General features: G+C 39.5%; 1 protein-coding gene across 4 annotated transcripts in view, besides 3 other annotated features; it reads right to left on the bottom strand.

Moving 5' to 3' along the window:
- The window catches only part of MLLT10 (MLLT10 histone lysine methyltransferase DOT1L cofactor), a 209,875-nt gene that overhangs the window by 20,983 nt on the left and 166,092 nt on the right, over nucleotides 1-22,800 (bottom strand). For 3 of the 4 annotated variants that reach the window (NM_001324297.2, NM_004641.4, NM_001195626.3), the window contains one exon: nucleotides 8,698-8,876. In NM_001324297.2, the coding sequence (NP_001311226.1) occupies nucleotides 8,698-8,876 (179 nt within the window). Of the gene's footprint in view, nucleotides 1-8,697; nucleotides 8,877-13,990; nucleotides 14,061-22,800 lie in introns of all 4 variants that reach the window. The other variant, NR_136736.2, reaches the window with a different exon arrangement.
- Nucleotides 11,103-11,603: an enhancer, noted in NCBI's record as "H3K4me1 hESC enhancer chr10:21999974-22000474 (GRCh37/hg19 assembly coordinates)". NCBI's record gives its function as "activates a minimal SCP1, AML or CMV promoter by ChIP-STARR-seq in naive H9 embryonic stem cells {active_cell/tissue: H9 hESC(naive)}" and the evidence as "EXISTENCE:reporter gene assay evidence [ECO:0000049][PMID:30033119]".
- Nucleotides 11,103-11,672: a biological region, named in NCBI's record as "H3K4me1 hESC enhancer GRCh37_chr10:21999974-22000474".
- Nucleotides 11,573-11,672: an enhancer, noted in NCBI's record as "active region_3122". NCBI's record gives its function as "activates an Ori minimal core promoter by ATAC-STARR-seq in GM12878 lymphoblastoid cells {active_cell/tissue: GM12878}" and the evidence as "EXISTENCE:reporter gene assay evidence [ECO:0000049][PMID:35858748]".

Raw genomic sequence — 22,800 nt, 5'->3', positions numbered from 1 at the left:
GAGCACACACAGTGTCTGGCGTTTCATAGACTCAAAAACCTTTGCTGCCATTAATAAGCAAAAGCATTAAGATTCAGGGGAAAGGAAGAAAGTCCATGTTAACCCAAAGAAATAAGGGTTATGAAGCATCAAGGGCATGAAAGCTTTTGTATTAAAAAAAACTGGAATAAGAAATAAAGGAAACATTAACATACACATACTTCTCTACAGCATACTTTGGAAACGGATTTTGAAAAGTGCATTGAAAGCAAATTACTAATATACCAGAAGACTGTTTCAGAAGATCTGGTACAAAGACTAGAAATTCTTTTTGGAAAAGAAGTACCTATTATATGACATTTCAATCTTAACCTGCCCAGGTAAGGAGAACGGCTATTGTGAATAGACACTCTCCTTGGATCTGCTGGTACTGTAAGAATATAAGTTAACACTAGGGGAGGCTGAGTGAAGGATATCCATGATATATCTAACTCTCTGTACTGTCCTTGTAACTTTTCTATATATCGAAAATTATTTCAAATTAAGAAAACTGCCATAACAAACTTAAGTTTATATATATATTTGAAAGATTCCTCTTTATGTAAGGATAATATATATAAGAATATATAGGATTATATATACATATATGGATGTATACATCCTTCATATAATATCTTAAAGAGGAATCCTTCCCCTTTCCCAAGACCAATAACTGATAAAAATCACTTCTGCTCAAGATGTTATCTAACATTTATTGTAACACTCTAGTAAAAACCTCATTAAGAGAAGTGTAATTATTTTACAAGATAGACTGAAAGACCAGTAGATTAAGAATAAATTGAATAATTATTGAACTAAGCTTAAGTCACTTTTAAACAATATATGTTCAGGTGTCTGAGTTAAAGAATATCCTTAGCAAATTTAGAATAACTTAATATATTAAACGTCTGCAAGTCTCTACCAAGGCAGTATTCAAACTCAAAACAAATAAAAGAAACTTAGTATTTCCTAAGTAGACTGGCATACCATATTAAAATATTAAGATAAAAATATATTTCAGCTTATAATTTCTCCTGTTATTAAGAGTTTACCTCTTATATTTTCAAATATCTGCCTATGACCACAGAGATGTTTTAAAAGAGCTTGTTTATAAAGTAGTAACTGTCAAATTCCTAGGAACTTGGCTCATGCTAAAGGAGTCGACTGCGTGGGGGAAAAGGTTCAAGTGTCCTCAATTAACTGAATGTGAAACTTAAAAGTGGACACTGTTTTGGTAGATTTTTTTCCTGCCTAATGTTAATAAGCGCAGAATAATAAGAAAAATTAGGTTCGAAAGACTAATACCGATGAAAATATTTCACCTTTGGAAAGCACTGTATTAACAGCAATGTATCATCTAGAGATAGATCTGAAACTTCATACTTCAATCATACAGGAACAGGTTATATATAGCAAGCATTTTTTTTAATGCACAATTAACCTGTCAATAAACATTAAAGTCAAGTGATTCAAAAAAGCTCTAAACTAGCTGCTTCAAGCTTTTCAGCCCTGACACATGATTAAAAATGCAATCTTCCAAAAATATTCAGGCTCACTAAATTCAGTATTTACTTTTTAAATTCCTAATTCGTATATACTTTCAGGAGGAAAAACATTTTATTATCACCATATATATCATAAGCCAAGCTATCTCACTTTGGGTAAATTATTAAACCTCTCTGTCCTCAATTTCCATCTGGAAAATGAGGATAACAACAGTATCTACCTCATAGGAACACTGTGAGAATTGAGTTAATATATGCAAAGGGCTTAAAAAATGCTTGACACATGGTAAGCGCTCATATTTTAGCTTAACTTTAAAAATTATTTTCACAAGCTATTGTGGTTTCTATTTTTCCATTAAAATTATTAGAAAATACAACTTACCAATTATATTCTGAACTGTGGCTATATTTCAAAGATTAAAACCTATTTCCCTAAGAAAACTTAAATAGCATAAATGCCTCATTATGCAGTAATGTTTTAAACTATGTATTTGATAATATAGCAATGCTGCACATAGAATGTAAGGACTTGAATGTTTCTAGATCCAATTTATATTATTGTTTGAATTTGGGAACACAATATATTTGATTAGAAAAGTTTCCAGCAAAAACATGAATGAACATTAGACATGGATTAGGGAACAATTGAAAGGTTCACATATTCTCCAGATCAATTCAAACTTTATATTTACTAAGAACATATTCTGATAGCAGACCCATTTCTGTGTCAGCTACCGCCAGTAAGGCTTCAATACTCAGCATGTGATGAGAGGTGAAACCAAGTGTGAACAACTTTCAGGTCCCATGAGTAGGCTGACTGTTGAAGCTGTCAGGTTCAATTGCATCATTCCACATTATTCAATGCTCCAAACTGCTCCCTAATTGTTAGGAGCTTAACGTATTCAAAACCATTGTTTAGGCTAATGCCAAAATGCCCCACAATTGAGTTTCCATAAAGTAGCAGGAGGGAATGAAGTGTAGTTAAACCATCACTGAACACTCATGATCGGACAACAGGACTGTATAGATTAACCAACAAATTCTAAGTAGGTTTCTTAACTGGTTAATATCTTATCAATATAGCTCTTACCTTTCTGGGAAAAAATTACTGTAGGACAAAGGCAGCTATTGAAATAATTTTGGAACTGGGAAAGACCTTAATCCACAGCTGAATATATATACTGGCTAAAATTCATTTATCTATGTTAGCATGAATTATATGAGTTTTAACAGAAATTGTTAATACTATTTCCAATACAGGAAGTGTTCCTGTACAATTTCTCACTGGTAATTAGGCTGAAGAGTAACAGTTGAAGTCAATAACCATGAATTCTAAAGTATTTTATGGTCTGCATTTGAACCTCATAAAGTATCTGTATAGCAGGTAGAACAGGTACTTAAAGTATTCCCATTTTACATATGGAAACATTGAGGCTCACAAAAATTAAAAGACCTGCCCAAGGTTATACAAGTGAGTAGCAAAACTCCTGGAACCCAGGACTTTTGCTGACTCAAATTTCTCTCTTCTGCATTGCATCACACAAATGAACACAGTAAAATTACTAACAACGTTTTCCAAGGAGATACCTCTTAGCATAAGAAGTACATAATTGGGAAATTCATTTTAACAGTAACAATTAGTAATAAGAGAGCAGGCTAAGGAATCATGTCTTAATTCCAGACTTACAGATATGTGACTGTGACTGAACCTTTTCATCATCTGGTAACAAGAGATGTTACCAAGGTTATGAAAACTGATTTTCCTCAGAAAGGTAATTCCCTTAAAATTATAAGTCATTATATTATTGAAATCAGAAGAAATTTACATTCTGACTAATTAAGTATAAACATAAATATCACCCCAGAAGTCAGTTAAATCTGCCTGAGAAACGAAACCATTTTCTCAAGCAGAATTAAAGTGTCCTTATTAGACATCATCTGAAAAGAAATCGGAGACTACATCTTAGACAACTTCCCCTACATAAACACACACATACATAATCATATTGGAAAACAAAATATTCGAAGCTAATTGAGATGAAAGTGTCACAGAAATCTGCAAAACTCTAGTCACTAAATTGTATGTTTAAAATACAGAAATATGCCCAGGCGAGGTGGCTCACGCCTGCAATCCCAGCACTTTGGGAGGCCAAGGTGGGTGGATCATGAGGTCAGGAGTTCGAGACCAGCCTGGCCAACATGGTGAAACCCCATCTCTACCAAAAACACAAAAATTAGCCAGGCGTGGTGGTGCACGTGTGTAGTCCCAGGTACTCAGGAGGCTGAGGCAGGAGAATCACTTGAACCTGGCAGGGGCAGAGTTTGCAGTGAGCCGAGATCGTGCCATTGCACTCTAGCCTCGGCAACAGAGTGAGACTCCGTCTCAAAAAAACAAACAAACAAACAACAACAAAAACACGAAATATCTGCATTTCCTAAATATCACATAAATAAACCTTGGAAGTTTATTTTACTTTAAATGTTAAGTCTACATCATTTTGTTTAACAGTAACATGGGATAGACAAGAAGCCATGATTATCACATGAAGATTGTATTTCAAACGCAAAACTCAGAAAGTAGGATGTAACGGAATGCAATTATGTTTCATTGCATTCAGTCTTAAGTTCTTCTACTAAAGAAATCATCCTTCAAACCAAAAAAAAAGCACCTGCATTCTCCCAAAGACAGTACAGAATGACTGCAGAACTAGGAAACAGCAGGATTTGAAAGGCAAAATGAAAAATTAATGACACTCCTACAGAAACTAATTTATACCTCTACCCTGATCCATGATTAACAGTCACATGGACAGGAGTCCGCTCTTCCCGCAATGTTAAGAAACTACTCTATTACTAATATACTAGTATGTAGTAAAGCAGGCTTCCTATCAATTATTTGTGAAAGAGCCATTACTCTAAAAACTAGTCTGTTGAAAGGGGGAAAAAAAAAAGGGTTTAACACTTAAGAATATAAAATAGAGGCCGGGCGCAGTGGCCCACACCTGTAATCCCAGCACTTTGGGAGGCCAAGGTGGGCAGATCACCTGAAGTCTGGAGTTCGAGACCAGCCTGACCAACATGGTGAAACTCCATCTCTATCAAAAATACAAAAATTAGCCAGGCGTGGTGGCGGGCACCTGTAGTCTCAAAAAGAAGAAAGAAGAAGAAAGAAGAAGAAAGAAGAAAAGAAGGAGAAGAAGAAGGAGAAGGAGAAGGAGGAGGAGGAGGAGGAGGAGAAGGAGGAGGAGAAGGAGGAGGAGAAGGAGGAGGAGAAGGAGGAGGAGAAGGAGGAGGAGAAGGAGGAGAAGAAGGAGAAGAAGAAGGAGAAGAAGAAGAAGAAGAAGCAGCAGCAGCAGCGGAGGAGGAGGAGGAGGAAGAGGAGGAGGAAGAGGAGGAGGAGGAGGAGGAAGAGGAGGAGGAGGAAGAGGAGGAGGAGGAGGAGGAGGAAGAGGAGGAGGAAGAGGAGGAGGAAGAGGAGGAGGAAAAGGAGGAGGAGGAGGAGGAAGAGGAGGAAGAAGAGGAAGAAAGAAGAGGAAGAGGAAGAAAGAAGAGGAAGAGGAAGAAAGAAGAAGAAAGAAGAAGGGAGGAGGAGGAGGAGGAGGAGGTGGTGGAGGAGGAGGAGGAGGAGGAGGAGGAGGAGGAATATAAGAATATAAAATCAAACAGTTTTTTAAAGGTTTTTTCCCCAAAATGTATGCTGCTATCAGACTCCCCTCCCCACCCCCCACCCGCCAATTTTACAAGTATCTCCTTTTCCCAGCACAAATCAAGTTTCAAGTTATTCTAAGTTTTTAACTTCTACTAGCCCTTCCCAATCTTATCTCCTTGACCACTTTCCAGGGAACAATTTTTTTTTTTTTTTTTTTTTTTTGAGACGGAGTTTCGCTCTTGTTGCCCAGGCTGGAGCGCAATGGCGTGATCTTGGCTCACCGCAACCTCTGCCTCCCAGGTTCAAGCAATTCTCCTGCCTCAGCCTCCCGAGTAGCTGGGATTACAGGCATGCACCACCGCGCCCGGCTAATTTTGTATTTTTAGTAGAGATGGGGTTTCTCCATGTTGAGGCTGGTCTCGAACTCCTAACCTCAGGTGATCCACCCGCCTCGGCCTCCCAAAGTGCTGGGATTACAGGTGTGAGCCACTGCGCCCGGCCCAGGGAACAGTTCTTAAGATACCAAATAAGGCAATGTAGAGGTCTATTTACTTAAAATGTATATCACAAAAAGCAAAAATGACCTCTGGATTTTATCCTGCTGACACCAATCCAATCAATAAAAACTCCTACTTTCGTTAAGGGTGTGGGGGCACAAAATGTTATTCAAGTTTAATATTTCCATCATCTATCACTATTATTAAAGTTTTTGCTTGCAAGTATGATGGTTTTCTTAACAGTTGTGGTAAGACTTCTAGAATTACTTTTTTTTTTTTTTGGGGAGACAGAGTCTGGCTCTGTTGGCCCAAGCTGGAGTGCAGTGGCATGATCTCGGCTCACTACAGCCTCCACTTCCCATGTTCAAGCAATTCTCCTGCCTCAGCCTCCCGAGTAGCTGGAACTACAGGCTTGAACCACCATACCCAGCTAATTTTTGAATTTTTTAGTAGAGACAGGGTTTCGCCATGTTGGCCAGGCTGGTCTTGAACTCCTGACCTCAGGTGATCCACCCACCGTGGCCTCCCAAAGTGCTGGGATTACAGGCATGAGCCACCACGCCCAGCCTAGAATTACGTTTTAAATATTGATAATTTTTATTCACCCATTTATCTTACTGCATTGCTCTAAAATCAACTACTTAGAGCAACCCTAAATAAAACACTAGATGTGACTATCTAAACACAACTAATGTAAGACTTGAAAACAAACAGGGTCTATATGAGAGTGAAACAGGAATAAACTTTGTCGTTTTGTAAAAAATGATTCAATTGCTAAGTGCATCCCCAATTTTAAGAGTCCTATCAATTCTATCTAAATATTTCTGTATCCTTTCCTTTGCACATTGCCTAGAAAATTTCACATTTTTCACATTCAACACCATTACTATTGTCTCAGGCAGCTAAATTGAAGTAGTTCAGCACTCAGTTCAACTGAGAGGTCAACGTGCCTCAGTTGCCTGGAGACTGATGGTTGCTACAGCAGCACCAGATAAGCCAGGCTAAATAAGCTTCAGCTTGAAGACAGAAAGCATTTACTGCTGAACAGAAACATAGATGTAGGTATCTCAGTACACAGCATGTAAATCTAACTGGATGATCACATTTGTAAGAGACCCATCTTTCTGAAACATGGAGAGGGGATAAATAGTAAAGATTTTAATTGAACTGAATCCTGGGTTACTTACAACTATGATTTCTTTGTTCTTCAGTTGAGTCACATGTCAAGTGGAATTTTCCCTCTAGCTATAAACTTCTCTTCTCTACCACTTCCCTAATGCCAACCCCCTGGCTCACAGACATAATGAATGAGAAGAAATGGGGATTTTTACTTAATTCAGCCGGGAAGTAACCAGAGGGTAATTAAACAGACTTTTATAAAGACAGAAAAGAGAAATGCACATTGAAAATGTTCATGTGAGACTTTGTCCAAGGATATAAAACTATCAACAGCATATGGTTGCACTTAATTAAAAAGAGATAAAACCATTTATAGGAGCTATTCTTTCATTTATCCTTTCACCCTCTCTAACCCCAAACCCCTGTTATGGCTACCTCACTTTTAGTGACATGAACTACAGAAAAACTCTGCTAAAGTAGTCAAACTCCTCTATATCAAGTTGGGAGGTTCACCAAATAGTTCACTTTCATCTTCAAAGACGATACTACTAATCATGCCATTGCTTTTCTGTGCTGAACTATCTGGGGTTGATTCTAATACGTAATTTTAATAGCAACTGCTCTCACTGTGCCATTCACACAAATGCATCAAAATAACCTAACATTGTGCTTGCCGGAAAAGCGTATATATATCCTAACAACACACGCAATGGAAATTATGCACGCATCCATAAAGCTCAAGTTGACAGGAACTTATAAACAACTATTTTAACTAGTTGTTCATTATTAGACATTTGTCCCTGTGACCATTTTCTTGACCATTAAAAGACTACTAGAGCTTTGGAGAAATGAAAATAAAATCATACATAATTTCAAATAAATAAAAAAAATACTTTGGAAATCTTAAATGATTATCTTTGGGGAAGGGGGGTGTAATACAGGGGGATTGGGTACAGCTTTCCCCCTGCACTGTCCTCTTTATAAAACAGGATTACAATTTCTCTTATATGACTCTTTTAAAACATCTTGGCTGTGCTTGGTGGCTCACGCCTGTAATCCTAACACTTTGGGAGGCCAAGGCAGGCAGATTACCTGAGGTCAGGGGTTGAAGACCAGCCTGGCCAACACGGCAAAACCTTGCCTCTACTCAAAATACAAAAATTACCTAGGCATGGTGGCGTGTGCCTGTAATCTCAGCTAGTCGGGAGGCTGAGGCAGGAGAATTGCTTGAACCCAGGAGGCAGAGGTGCAGTGAGCTGAGATCACACCACTGCACTCCAGCCTGGGTGACAAAGTGAGACTCCGTCTCAAACAAAAACAAAAAAATCCTATAGACTAGGTCACCTATCAAACTACAAATCTGAAGTCAGATAAAAGGGGTACACAAATGGAAAAACCTATATATTCATCATTATTTACAAACACTGTTCTCTCCCACTAGGAGGAAAAATGTGTAGTGCTTGAAGCGGTCATTCGGTCTTTTAACCTACATTCTCCTACACGGTTTTTTTTAAAACTTTAAAAAGATTTCATATATTTTTTGTGTAATTTTAAAAATTATAAAAGGAATTTTAAAAATCACAAGAGTCCAAAACTTGCTCATATTTTGTGGGTCCTACTTTTTTAAAGAAAGAATAAAAGCTCCCCTGAAAGTATATTTTATATCATTCAGACAAAATTTAAAACCCAGAAATTAAAAAGAATTAGTTGGTGCCCATACACTCATCCATCCTCTCTCATGAATACCATGTAAAAATACCTATCATTTTCACTAATACATTAATACAAATTGAGGTATTTCATAAATTCCTATAGAAGGCCCTATGTCATTTGTTTCTCCTCCAACAAAACTCACTTTAAAAATGAGAAACCCACCTATTACCTGTCACATGATAGTGTAACAACTTACCTGAGTTGTAGCAACAGCAGGGGCTGCAGATGACACAGCTGAGGGAGAGAGCGCTCCTACTTGTTGCAAATGCCCAGAAGACTGCTGAGGTAAGTGAGAGCTGGAGACAGGAGTACTAGATCCCGAGCCAGATACTACATTTGGAAACGATACTGCTACATCATTGCTGTTATAAATACCTGCAAAAAAACAAATGTTATTTAAATATAACTTAGCAGTCAAATTTGTCACAGACACACATAATCAGTAAACTTGCATTTCCTCCTGGATCCCTCCTCCAATTATAAATCTTATTGTTGCTGTTTAAAAAATATTGTGCTAGTAACTAAACAAATAAACACTGACTTCTCATGAAGCAGTTGTCTAAAAGAACCTACACCATTTTTATTTAGCAAAAAGGCTTTTGTTAAAAGCAGGGGATAGCAGAAAGAGCTTTGTAAAAAATATGTCATGGATTTTAGGAGTTTCTAAGAGCAAGAAAACGTTTCTTAAATAGAGGAATGAAGCAATTAGAGTTCCATAAAAATCACCTAATGGGCCTTCCAAAAGGCAAATGCTAAAGCCCCAGAAATCATCACTGAGGAAGTCTGAAGTAGGAAGAGACCTTGTTCTAGAAAGCCGACAAGGTAGAAATTAAAATGGAACAGGCCCAACTTGAAATTCCGAGACCAAAAGAGGAGCTGATGACATTGGTGGGAGACAGGTGTGGGAATAAAGAATGTTGGTAGATTCTAGAGACATTCCAGCGATAACACAGACAGGACTTTGTGACTGACTGTATGGGGCAGCTGCAGGGGTAGGAGAGGAGGAACGATTAAGACATGATGAACTGGGCTATGAGTTGGCAGCTCCATTTACTCCAGAGAACACAGGAGGTGAAAATCATGGGAGACTTGATGAAAACACTTTGAGAGGCACCATGGGGATAAAAGCCAGAAATAAGGTGGGAAATGGTGGAAGCTATTCATTCTAGAAAAGAGGGTGGGAGGATGAGCATAAGTTAACAGGAAACAAGTTAATTTTTTAAAAGTGCTTATTTTTTAAAAAAAGAAAATCATGCTCAGCATAGAGAAGGAGAGGCTTTCAGGATAAAGAAATGGGAATATCTATAAACCAGCCGTTCTCAACCAGGGGTGATTTTGCCCCACAAGGGACATTTCACAATACCTGGAGACATTTTTAGTTATCAAGCCTGGAGGGTGCTACTGGCATCCAATGGGTATAGGCCAGGGATGCTACTAGACATCTTACAATGCACAGGACAGCCTCCAGAAGAAATAACTGGCCCATAGTGTTAATAGTGTGGAGGCCGAGAAAACTTGCTATAAACCAGAGCTCTTGGGAGGGCAAGAGGGGAAAAAGAGCCTGAAACCAAGGTACAGAAACAGGAGGAAAGAATGAACCTAAGTGGGCTGCAGAAAAAAGAAATAAATAAATAAATTAGCAACTGTAGCCCTAGAGGACAACAATAATCAGTAATTTGTATCAACATACAATTTACTTTGTTCCAAAAAAACATCAACATAGCCTGGACAACAAAGGGAGATATTGTCTCTACAAAAAATAAAAATTAGCCAGGCATGGTGGCACATGCCTGTAGTCCCAGCTACCTTGGGGACTGAGGTGTGAGGATCACTTGAGCCTGGAAGTTCAAGGTTGTAGTGAACCATGCCGTGATTGTATCACTGCACTCCAGCCTTGGCAATAAAGCAAGACTCTGTCTTTAAAAATAAATAAATAAATAAATGAAGTTATTGACTTATATAATAAATTAAAGCACCTAGAATCTTATTCAAACAGGGAAAACAAAACAACTGGGACATTTTAAAAAGCCTTACAGCTATAATTAAGGCGTCGGGATCTTTTTTATATCTACAATTTCTCCAGAAAAATGATATATTTAGCCAATGCATTCATTCTGCAAACATCACTGAACTCATTATTTGCCAGGCATTATTCTAAGCCCTGGAGATAAAAAGCCATTCAAGATAGGTAGTCTTTGCCTTCAAGAAGTTGCGTAGAAAAAAGGCATTACAAACAGTTGTGGAGAGCACTATGACAGAGACATCCTCAGGAGGCTAGGAGCACAGAAAAAGAGGTATCTAATTCAGACCTGGAGTGAGAAAAGTGGTGAGCCAAAAAACTTACTGGAAGAGATGTTGTTGCTTTTCAAGCTAATTTCTTTTCTATCTTTTGTTTGTTTGTTTTCTGAGACAGAGTCTCTCTCACCTATGCTGGAGTGCCGTGGTGCAATCATAGCTCACTGCAGCCTTGACCTCCTGGGCCAAGCGACCCTCCTGCCTCAGCCTCCCAAGTAGCTGGGACCACAGGCGAATGCCACCACACCTGGCTTTTTTTTTTTTTTTTTGCGTTGGTTGTGGGGTCGGTGGGTTAAGAGATGGGGTCTCACTATGCTGACAGGCTGATTTCAAACTCCTGAGCTCAAGTGGTCCTCCCACCTCAACCTCCCAAAGTGCTGGCATCACACGCATGAGCCACCATGCCCAGCCTCAAGCTAGTTTCTTTTTTGAGGTGAAGTCTTGCTCTGTTGCCCAGGCTGGAGTGCAGTGGTGCAATCTCGGCTCGCTGTAACCTCTACCCGCGGGTTCAAGTGATTCTCCTGCCTCAGCCTCCCTAGTAGCTGGGATTACAGGCACGTGCCATCACACTCAGCTAATTTTTGTATTTTTACTAGAGATGGGGTTTCACCATGTCGGCCAGGCTGGTCTCAAACTCCTGACCTCAGGTGATCTGCCCGTCTCGGCCTCCCAAAGTGCTGGGATTACAGGTTTGAGCCACCACATCTGGCCTCTCAAGCTAATTTCTAAAGGGGCTGCAGTACAGAGGTGAAGGACGGTTTGAGGAAGAAACATGCAGTAGAGCAGGATAAATTCTAAGGACTTGGTGACTAATTAGACCTGAAAATTCTATTAGACCAATAGAACCTGGTGACTAATTAGACCTGAAAAATAAAAACAAGGGTAGAGTCACCAATGACTCTTAAGCATAAGTAAGTACATGTAGTGATACCATTCACTGAAACAGGAACAGCAACTGAAAGCAGTGTTTGGTTACTGTACGGAAGTAACTGTGCTAGTATAAGAACTCAATGAGGTAAATATTACTCCCATTTCACATATGAGCAAACAGAACTTTAAAGAAATAAAGTAACTTTTTTGGTGAGCTAGTAGGTGGTGAAATAATGATTCAAACTCACAGGTATCCTATAAATGAAATCACTTCCTAATACAAATTAAGAGGTTCAGGGTCATGGTCTTTGAGATGCCTGTGGGACACAGAACTCCTACATATAGAACACAATGGGATAAGCCTAAAACCCAGCAGGAAATTCAGATCTGAAGACATAAATCTAGGAGTGAGAAGCATGGTAAGTTACAGTAAGTAAACCTGCAAACTAAAAATACTTACTATTGGTCTGCACTATGGTTGAAATTTTAACCAGTTGCTCATAATTATTATAGAAATAAGAAATTTCCCATTAAGAACTCTAGATGCCTAATATCTCTTGAAAAACTGAAGATTTGCCAACACTGGATACTATATTATAAAAGAGCAACAATCTGACCAGAGCTCTGAACAGGGCATAGAGACTTTAATCCATCAGCATCTCCATCATCCCTTACCATGTCACTCATTTATGTTACCTATGTGGCCCCATAAGTATTTTACTTACAACTCTTGATATGAACACAATGGTCAAGGCCAAGGAACAAAAATGGAATCACCCAGGGAAAGTTCTCAGCATGATCAAGAGAAGAGAACCAAAGACAGAACCCTAAATAACATTACCATTTAAAGGGTAAACAAACAAAAATAGATCACAAAGGGCAAACTTAGAAAACTAAGATAGAGAATCTTATAAACTGCTCTAAGAATTTCAAAGGAATGGCCTGGTGCAAGTGGCTCATGCTTGTAATCCCAGCACTTTGGGAGGCCAAGGTGGGCAGATCTCTTTGAGCCCAGGACCAGCCTGGGCAACATGGTGAAATCCTATCTCTACCAAAAATGCAAAATTAGCTGGGTGTGGTGTCAAGCATGGTGGTGTGTGCCTGTAGTCCCAGCTACTTGGGAGGCTGAGGTGGGAGAACTGCTTGAGCCTGGGAGGTTGAGATTGAGCCGAGATTGTGCCACTGCACTCCAGCCTCAGTGACAGAACAAGACCGTCTCCAAAAAAGAAAAAGAAAGGAAAGGAAGAAAAAGAAACAAGTTTGGCTAAGAGGGCCAGAAAAGAGACAGCATGTTAATGCAGTGATTATTTATAAACTTTATATTCCAAATAATACATAGCAGAGAAAAAGATATGCATTTTTAAAGGTTGCTACTCCATAGATAATTCAACAAATATTGAGTTTCTACTGAATTCAGTGTTTTCAGAGTATCTTAGAAAATAAAATACTGCAGCCAGATGCGGTGGCTCACATCTGTAATCCCAGCACTTCGGAAGGCCGAGGCAGGTGGATCACCTGAGGTCAGGAGTTTGAGACCAGCCTGGCCAACATGGCGAAACCCATCTCTACTAAAAATACAAAACTTAGCCAGGCATGGCGGCGCATGCCTGTAGTCCCAGTTACTCGAGAGGCTGAGGCAGGAGAATCACTTGAGAGGCGGAGGTTGCAATAAGCCAAGATCACACCACTGCACTCCAGCCTGGGCGACAGAGCAAGACTCCATCTCAAAAAAAGGAAAAAAAAAAAAAAAAGCAGATAAAATGCTGATTAGTTATTTTGGGGGTGAAAAGTGTACTACACAGGGAGTCTCCAATTTCTAAAATTAGAAAACAAAAGTTAGCTGGAGGCAGCATGCTGAAATTGAAACAGCAGAGGCTTTTGACTTAGACAAAACTGGGTTCAAATGCTGGATCTGTCACCTACATGACCCTTAATCAAACTACTTAACCCTTCTGAACCTCCATATTATTCTTATCTATAAAACAAAGATAATGGCTACCTTAAAGACTTTTTGTGAGATTTTGAGAATATCCATATAAAAAAGCTCTAGCAATGCCTACCACAGAGTAAGTTTTAATAAATGGTAGCTACGGCCATTTTGGTGTTAATGCTTTCATTAAAAATGTATCTGTAAGTCAGGAAAGTACACTGTTGTAACTACCAGGTCCTCTAATGTCTCTACTACACTTTGAAAGTTGCAATTACCATCACAACATGCAGTAAAACATCTTGGAAGAATAATATTGAGAAGCAAAATCGTGGTGATTAAGGACCTTCAATCTCAAAACTTAAATTGTTTTTATATTACATCAACGTATACTTACATACGAAATTACGCAGCTAAATGTGCAATCCAGTAATCACACTTTGAAACAATATCTGGTACTCAGTTTACTGGTAAAAAAAAAACACACACACAAAAAAAACAGAGCAAAATGTTCCTTTCCTATCAAGGCAGGAAAGCTTAAAATTCTAAATCTTTCTTTGAAAATGAAAATAATGTATTCCCTTCAACTTCCTTGCTCCTCAGGTAGGACTGGTACAACATCCACCTTAAATTCTTCTGTATCTGCTTTCTATTTAACTTCACTCTATTTTCATCTTAAGTCATATGCTGTTTTTAACTAAAATCAAGGTGACATTCATTGAATTAAACAGAGCTAAATGTTACAATGCATGAGCTCTAGGAAAATACACTGAAATTCATCTGTTCAGGATAGGGAGGAGAAACAAAGCTGCAGAACGGTACAGAGGGTGGCAATGACATACTGATTCCTTCCTTTCCTTTTCTTCCCTTCCTTCCTTCCTTCCTTTCATCAAACAAATACTCAGTAGGTATGAGGAATGAGGCTAGGAGCTGGGATAATGTAGCAAGCAAGACAGACAAGATTTTAGCTCTCTGGGAATTTACAATTTAAGGAGCAAGGCAAACATTAAAACAAATACATGAATATAAATTCCAACACATACTATAATGGAAGAGAAAAAGGTACCACAAGAGTGAAATACTAGGAAGCAAGAAAGACCTGTCTAAAAAAATATTTAAGACAAGGCTTAAAGGTTAGGTAGGTGTTAACTAGACAAAGAGTAAGACAGAAAAACTTGTCCAAAAGACCCAGAAATATTGAAAGAAGAAAAAACAGGTAATACAGCTAAAGCCTTGTGGAGAGGCTGGTAAAAGACAAAGTTGGAGAGAGGGGAAGGAACAGATCATAAGGCCTTGTAAGCCATGTACAGGTGTTCTGAATTTTTGCTAAGATCAGTAGGAAGACACCAAAGGCAAATAGTATGACTCACTTTTTAAAAAGATCATCCCTCTGACTCTTATGTAGCAAAGGGACTGACGGGGATGAGTGGAAACAAAGATTTTTTTTTAGGAGGCTATTTCACAATCTGGATTAAAAATTATGTCCCTCCAGACAAAGACGGTAGTAGTACTGAACACGGACAAGGACTTGCAGTGCATCTAGAAATTAGAATCATCTAAACTTGGCCGGGCGCAGTGGCTCACGCCTGTAATCCCAGCACTTTGGGAGGCCGAGACGGGCGGATCACGAGGTCAGGAGATCGAGACCATCCTGGCTAACACGGTGAAACCCCGTCTCTACTAAAAATACAAAAATTAGCCGGGCATGGTGGCGCGTGCCTGTAGTCCCAGCTACACGGGAGGCTGAGGCAGGAGAATGGCGTGAACCCGGGAGGCGGAGCTTGCAGTGAGTCGAGATCGCGCCACTGCACTCCAGCCTGGGCAACAGAGCGAAACTCCGTCTCAAAAAAAAAAAAAAAAAAAAATCATCTAAACTTGATGACAAATTAGATTTGGTAGCAGGGTAGAAGATGAATGAGTCATGGGTTTCTGGCTAGTGATTAAAAGTGCCCTTACTGAGATGGTAAAAACTGGAACAGGAGGAATGGAAGTTTTCTTAAACGCCAGCCTGGGACCACATGTTGAGGCTCTCCAACATTTCAAGGATGGGTCCTAGAAGAGGAGTTCATACAGAAAATTGACACCAGTAAGATAAGAAGAAAACCATGACTGTGGTGTCACTGAAGCAAAGAAAGAGAGCCTGACGAAAGAGATGGCAGTGACTTCTCAAATGCTGCATTTTCAGCCCACTAGATGTGAAAAGATGGAGACAAACAGTGATCTCAGGAGAAGAATACAGTATGAGTAGACGCCAGAAGAACATTGTTTAGACTTAAGTTTTTATTAGTAAGCCAATGCAATTACACAAGATTGGTAAATAAGACAGAAGTATACCTGTCTAATGACAGAAATAATAATGCTCATCAACCTGAGTTCCTATTTCCCACTTTCAAACTGCCTAGGAGGTCAAGTAAGTACCCATCCAGTGGCTTATTCAGGAAAAAGACTGTGAATGGAATAGTCTTCAGAAATATTTAACTAAGTAAGTAATTAAGCCTGTAAGTTATCCCTAACCCACATCCCGAGAGACTGAATGACTTATTCTTTCCTAGAGGTTAATATGGTGTGAAAATAGTTAAAAGTCCAAATCCTGCTCCCTCGTGCAAATAACTTAACCTCACACAACCTCATATACCTCATCTATAAAGTGAGGGTGGTACCAACAATTTCACAGGGCTGGGGCAAGGATTAACTTACATATGCGAAGCATATACTAATATTGTCCTCAGGACCCCTAATGGTATGTGCAGGCACCAGTCATGGTAGACAGTATGCTGTCTACCACATAGTAAACATCTGACAAACAGTGCCCATCATTATTATGAATTCATTATTATGAATTAAATAGGATTGAGAGAGGGGTTTCAAGATGGGTGACTAGAGGCATTTTGTATTTGTCTCTTCCACTAAGAACCAAAATAGTTAGAAGGTAACCACAATTTGTATAGATCGTCCAAGAGAAAACACTGGAATTCAACAAAAAACTAACAACCAATACCTAAAACAAGGAAGGAAAGGGAAGCAAGGCAGCCTGCTTGGCCAGGAGCCAAGAGAGGCTCCCTAATGCAGGGAAAGAACAGGTTAGAGACCCTCAGCTGTCAACATTCCCACATGGACTTCTGCAATCCTAGCCATGGGAGAGCTCCTAGATCCTTTCAGGCTCTGAAATAAACATAAGGAACTGCGAGGAGATTGTGTTGACAGCACAGCCACAGGGAGGATGCTTATGCTGTATCCCATACATGTTCTAAGACCTAAGCAGCAACAGCAAAGCACCATCTTAAGAGTCTTGTACCCAACAGGCTACACACTGTCCTAGGGCCCAGCAGCGCTAGGACTAAGGCCAAGAGATACACCAGCTACTGCTCCCAGGGTGGAGGCGTGAATGAGCAAAGTGTGGGCTACTGCACACAGGGCTGAGATGTGGGGAACCACTGCTAGGGCTGATGCATGAGTGTTCCCCATCTGCTGGCCTACACTTGCCTCCACTAACATGGCCCTGGGCTCTCCAGTGACAGGGCAACGGTGTGACCAATGCTGCCCCGGCTACCTGAACATTCTGCTGGTGACTTAGGGATCACCCTGCCCCTGCCTACCATGACTGGTACCTGCAAATACCATCAGGGGGCCTGAGGACAAGCCCACCAACCCAGCTTTGCCCCACCCTCAGCCCATGCCAGAGCACACAAGTCTGGAGTACAGGGGACTGCCCAGCGCAATCCAACATCATTAGCACCTGAACACTTGTCCTGGGGATCTGAGGTTAGGCCTACCCACCCTGCTGCTACTGCCACAGCTGGCACCTATCTGCATGTACCATCTGTAGGTCTGGAGACTGGCCTGCCCAGTCCACTGTAGCCACCACCAATACAAGTGCACTCTTCCTGGGATCCAGAGGGTTGACCCACCACTGCCACCGTCTTCGCACACCACACTGGCTGGCTGCAGACCCGAGAACCGTCCAACCTACAGAGCCAACTGCTACCACTACTGGCATCTGAGGAAGTATGGGCCTCCACCTCGAGGCACAAGAATCAGCCTACCTGGACCCACTAACACCAGTACCAGCATATGCCACCCTGGGCCCAAGGTGAGGCATGCTTGGTCCACGACTGAGGTGCAAAGGCTGGTCTACTTGGCATCCTAGTCCCCAGCAAAACTTCACCACTGCCTCCACTAATAATTGCACCCTAAACCACTGAGAAAAATCATAGCCACTGCTGATACTGTTTAAGCCAAATAAATCATCCAGAGATTACATGACTGCACACATCCAGAATCACAACTACGGTGCCTACCCAAGCAACACCATAGATATATCTTCAATAAAATGTTCTCCCCTATGAAAGCAAATTCAAAAAAATTGGGAGAAGCTATTATCACATCAGATGCACAGATATCAACATATACAGGAAACATTAAAAAGCCAAAAAAAAAAAAAAAGCGAGAGAGAGACACCTCCAAAGGGCACACAATAATTCCGTAGGAACACATACCATTAAAAAGTTTTTAAAAATATTGGAAAAATAATTCAAAATTTTAATACTAAAGAAGCTATGTGCGATACAAAATAATTCTGAAAATACAAAGAAATCAGAATGGTTATTCAGGACATGAATAATATGAATAATAAATTAATTATTTATTTTTATTCTGTAATTCAGTAATAATTATATATATATATATATATATATATAGAGAGAGAGAGAGAGAGAGAGAGAGAGAATTTAAAAAGAACAAAACAGAGGCTGGGCACAGTGGCTCATGCCTGTAATCCCAGCACTTTGGGAGGCCAAGGCTGGCAGATCACTTGAGTACAGGACTGCAACATCAGCCTGGCCAACACGGCAAAACCTCATCTCTACAAAAATACAAAAGTCAGCCAGGTGTGGTGGTACCTGCCTGTAATCACAGCTACTTAGGAGGCTGAAGCAGGAGAATCACTTGAACCTAGGGGGCAGAGGCTGCAGTAAACTGGGGTCACTTTAGCCTGGGCAACAGAGCAACACTCCATCAAAAAAAAAAAAAAAAAAAAAAACAAAAAACAATCGAAATCCAAAATGTATTCAGAAGTTTCAACAATAGACTAGATCAAGCAGAAGAAATTCACAACTTGAAGCCAGTCTTTTGAAATAACCCAGTCAAAACACAGTGACCAATAATATGGAAAATCAACTCAACAAAATACTAGATTAAAACTTCCCAGGTCTGGGCCGGGTGCGATGGCTCACACCTGTAATCCCAGCACTTTGGGAGGCTGAGGCGGGCGGATCACAAAGTCAGAAGTTCGAGACCAGCCTGATCAACATGGTGAAACCCTGTCTCTACTAAAAACACAAAAATTAGCCGGGTGGTAGTGGTGCACACCTGTAATCCCAGCTACTCGGAAGGCTGAGGCAGAAGAATTGCTTGAGCCTGGCAGGCTGAGGTTGCAGTGAGCGGAGATCGCGCCACTGCACTCCAGCCTGGGTGACAAAGCGAGACTCTGTCTCAAAAAAAAAGAACTTCCCAGGTCTAGCAAGAGATACAGACATCCAGATAGAGGAGGCTCTAAGATCCCTAAAAACAATGCAAAAAGGTCTTCTCTACGGCACATTTTACTCAGGTTGTCTAAAGACAAAGACAAAGAATTCTAAAAACAAGAGAAAGGTATCCAGTCACCTATAAAAGACCCCCCCATCAGACTAACAGATTTCTCAGCAGAAATCTTACAGTCAACATAGAAGGGGATGATATATTCAAAAGTGCTGAAAGGAAAAAAAAAAAACTTTCAGCCAAGGATATTACATACAGCAAAATTATCCTTCATAAATGAAGGAGAAATAAAGTCTTCTCCAGACAAGCAAAAGCTGAGGAAATTCATCACCATTAGACCACCCTACACGAAATGCTCAAGGGAATTCTAAACCTGGAAGCAAAAGGATGACATTTGCCACCATGAAAACATACAAAAGTACAAAACTCACTGGAGTAAAGCAAATACACAAAGTAAGAAGAAAGAGAAAGGACTCAAACCACCCCTACAGAAAACCACAAAACCACAACGACAAAAAGAAAGGAAAAGAAAGAATATACAAAACAACTAGAAAACAATAGGACAAAAACAAAACCTCACATATCAATAATAACCTTAAATGTAATGGATTAAATTCTCCACTTACAAGATATCAACTAGGTGAATGAATTAAAAAACAAGGTCCAACTACTTATTGCCCACAAAAAACACACTTCACCTGTAAGGATGCATACAGATGGAAAGTAAAGGTATGAAAAAAGATATTTTATGCAAAGGGAAACCACAGGAAGTAAGCAGGAGTAGCTATACTTACATCAGATAAAAGAGACTTTAAGAAAAAAAAAACTGTAAAAAAGATTAGGTCATTATATAACGACAAAGGGATAACCAGCAAGAGGATATAACAATTCTAAATATATATGCACCAAACTGGAAAATTCAGATTCAGAAAGCAAATATTACTAAACCTAAAGAGAGGGATAAACTCCAATACAATAATAGTGAGAGACTTCAACAACCCACTCTCAACATTAGATAGATCACTGGCACAGAAAATCAAAAAACGAACACTGGACTCCAACTAGACTTTAGACCAAATGGACCTAACAGACATTTACAAAACATTTTATCCAACAACTGCTCTCATCAGCATATGGAACATTCTCCAGGACAGACCGTATGTCAGGACACAAAACAAATCTTTAAAAATCAAAATCATATCAAGAATCTTCTCAATTTACAATGGAATAAAATTAAAAATCAACACAAAGAGGAACTTAGGAAACTATACAAATACATAAAAATTAAATAACATAGCCAGGCACAGTGGCTCACGCCTGTAATCCCAGCACTTTGGGCAGCTGAGGTGGGCGGATCACAAGGTCAAGAGATTGAGATCATCCTGGCCAACATGGTGAAATCCCGTCTCTACTAAAAATACAAAAATTAGCTGGGCATGGTGGTGGGCGCCTGTAGTCCTAGCTACTCGGGAGGCTGAGGCAGGAGAATCACTTGAACCTGGGAAGTGGAGGTTGCCATGAGCTGAGATCAAGCCACTGCACTACAACCTGGCAATACAGTGAGTATCTGTCTCAAAAAAAAGAGAGACGAGACGAGACGAGACGAGAAGAGAAGAGAAGAGAAATAACATAACCAGGTGCGGTGGCTCACGCCTGTAACCCCAGCACTTTGGGAGGCTGAGGCTGGTGGACTGCCTGAGGTCAGGAGTTTGAGACCAGCCTGGCTAACATGGTGAAACCCATCTCTTCTAAAAATATAAAAAAAATTAACCAGGCGTGGTGGTACATGCCTATAGTCCCAGCTACTCAGGAGGCTGAGGCAGGAGAATTGCTGGACCCCAGGAGGCAGAGGTTGCAGCGAGAAGAGATCGCATTACTGCACTCCAGCCTGGGTGACAGAGCAAGACTCCATCTTCAAAATATATATATATTTTTAATAACACAATCCACCACTGTGCCAATGAAGAAATTAAGATGGATATAAAAAAATTTCTTCAAATGAAAATGGAAACGCAACATGCCAAAACCTATGTGATACAGCAAAAACAACACTAAAAAGTTTATAGCAGTAAACATCTACATCAAAAAAGTAGAAAGACTGCAAATAAACAATCTAATGATGCACCTCAAGGAACTAGAAAAGCAAGAACAAATCAAACCCAAAATCAGCAGAAGAAAAGATATAATGAAGATTAGACAGAGACCCCCTCTCCCTCTCAAAAAAAAAAAAAAAAATCAATGAAATGAAAAATTGGTTCTTCAAAAGGTAAACAAAATTGATGAACTGCTAGCTAGACAAGGCAAAAAAAAGAGGTAAGAACCAAATCAGCAAAATCAAAATTGAAAAAGGAGACATTACAACTGATACCACAGAAATATGAAAGACAGCAGAGAATAGTATGAATGCTAACAAATTGGAAAATCTAGAGAAAATTGATGAATTCCAAAAAACATACAACCTACCCAGACTGAATCAGGAAGAAACAGAAACCCTGAACAGACCAACAATGAGTAATGAGACTGAATCAGTAATAAAATGTCTCCCAACCAAAGAAAAGCCTAGGACTGGATAGATTCAATGCTGAATTCTACCAAATGTATACAAAGGAACTAATACCAATCCTCTTCAAACTATTCCAAAAATCCAAGAGAAGGGAATTCTCCTTAACTCATTCTACAAGGCCCTGACCAGTCAAGGATACAACAACATCAAAAAAGGAAACTACAGGTCAATATCCCCAAGAAACATCAATGCAAAAATCCCCAACAAAATGCTAGCAAACCGAATTCAACAAAACATCAAAAGGTAATACACCATGATCAAGTGGGACTCACACTTGGAATGCAAGGATGGTTTAACATAATAGGTATCACATCAATAGAATAAAGGACAAAACCCATATGATCATCTCAGATGCAGAAAAAGCATTTGATAAAATTCAACATCGCTTCATATTAAAAACTCTCAAACTAAGCACAGAAGGACCATTCTGCAAAATAATAAAGGCCATATAGGACAAACTCACAGCTAACATTATACTCAACAGGAAAAAGCTAAAATTTTTCCTCTAAGACCTAAAACAAAACAAGAACACCCACCTTCACAACTCTTATTCAACATAATATTGACAATTCTAACCAGAGCAATCTGGCAACAGAAATAACAGGCATCCAAGTTGACTTCCATACGGAAGTAAAATTCATTACTTTGCAGATTACATGATCTTATATGCAGAAAAACTTAAATACTCCACCAAAAGACTATAAGAACTGATAAATTCAGTAAATTTGGAGGATACAAAATCAACATACAAAAACCAGTACTGTTTCTATATATCAATAATGAAATAGCAAAAAAAGAAATCAAGGCAGCAGTCCTGTTTACTATAGTGTTTAAAAAAAAAAAAAAAAGAATACATTTAACCGAGTAGGTGAAAGATCTCTACAAGAAAAATTACAAAACACTGATGAAAGAAATTGAAAAGGACACAAACAAATTTAAAGACATCCCATGCTCATGAATTGGAAGAATTAGTATCATTAAAATGACCACACTGCCAAAAGCAATCTACAGATGCAATGCAGTCCTTATCAAAATAACATCATTTTTCATAGAAATAGAAAAAACAATTCTAACATTTGTATGGAGCCAAGAAAGAATCAGAATAGCTG

The sequence above is a fragment of the Homo sapiens genome, chromosome 10 (genome assembly GCF_000001405.40).
Source record: "Homo sapiens chromosome 10, GRCh38.p14 Primary Assembly".
Taxonomy (NCBI): domain Eukaryota; kingdom Metazoa; phylum Chordata; class Mammalia; order Primates; family Hominidae; genus Homo; species Homo sapiens.
Note: the sequence above shows the minus strand (reverse complement) of the source record. Positions and strands in the feature narration are given on the sequence as shown.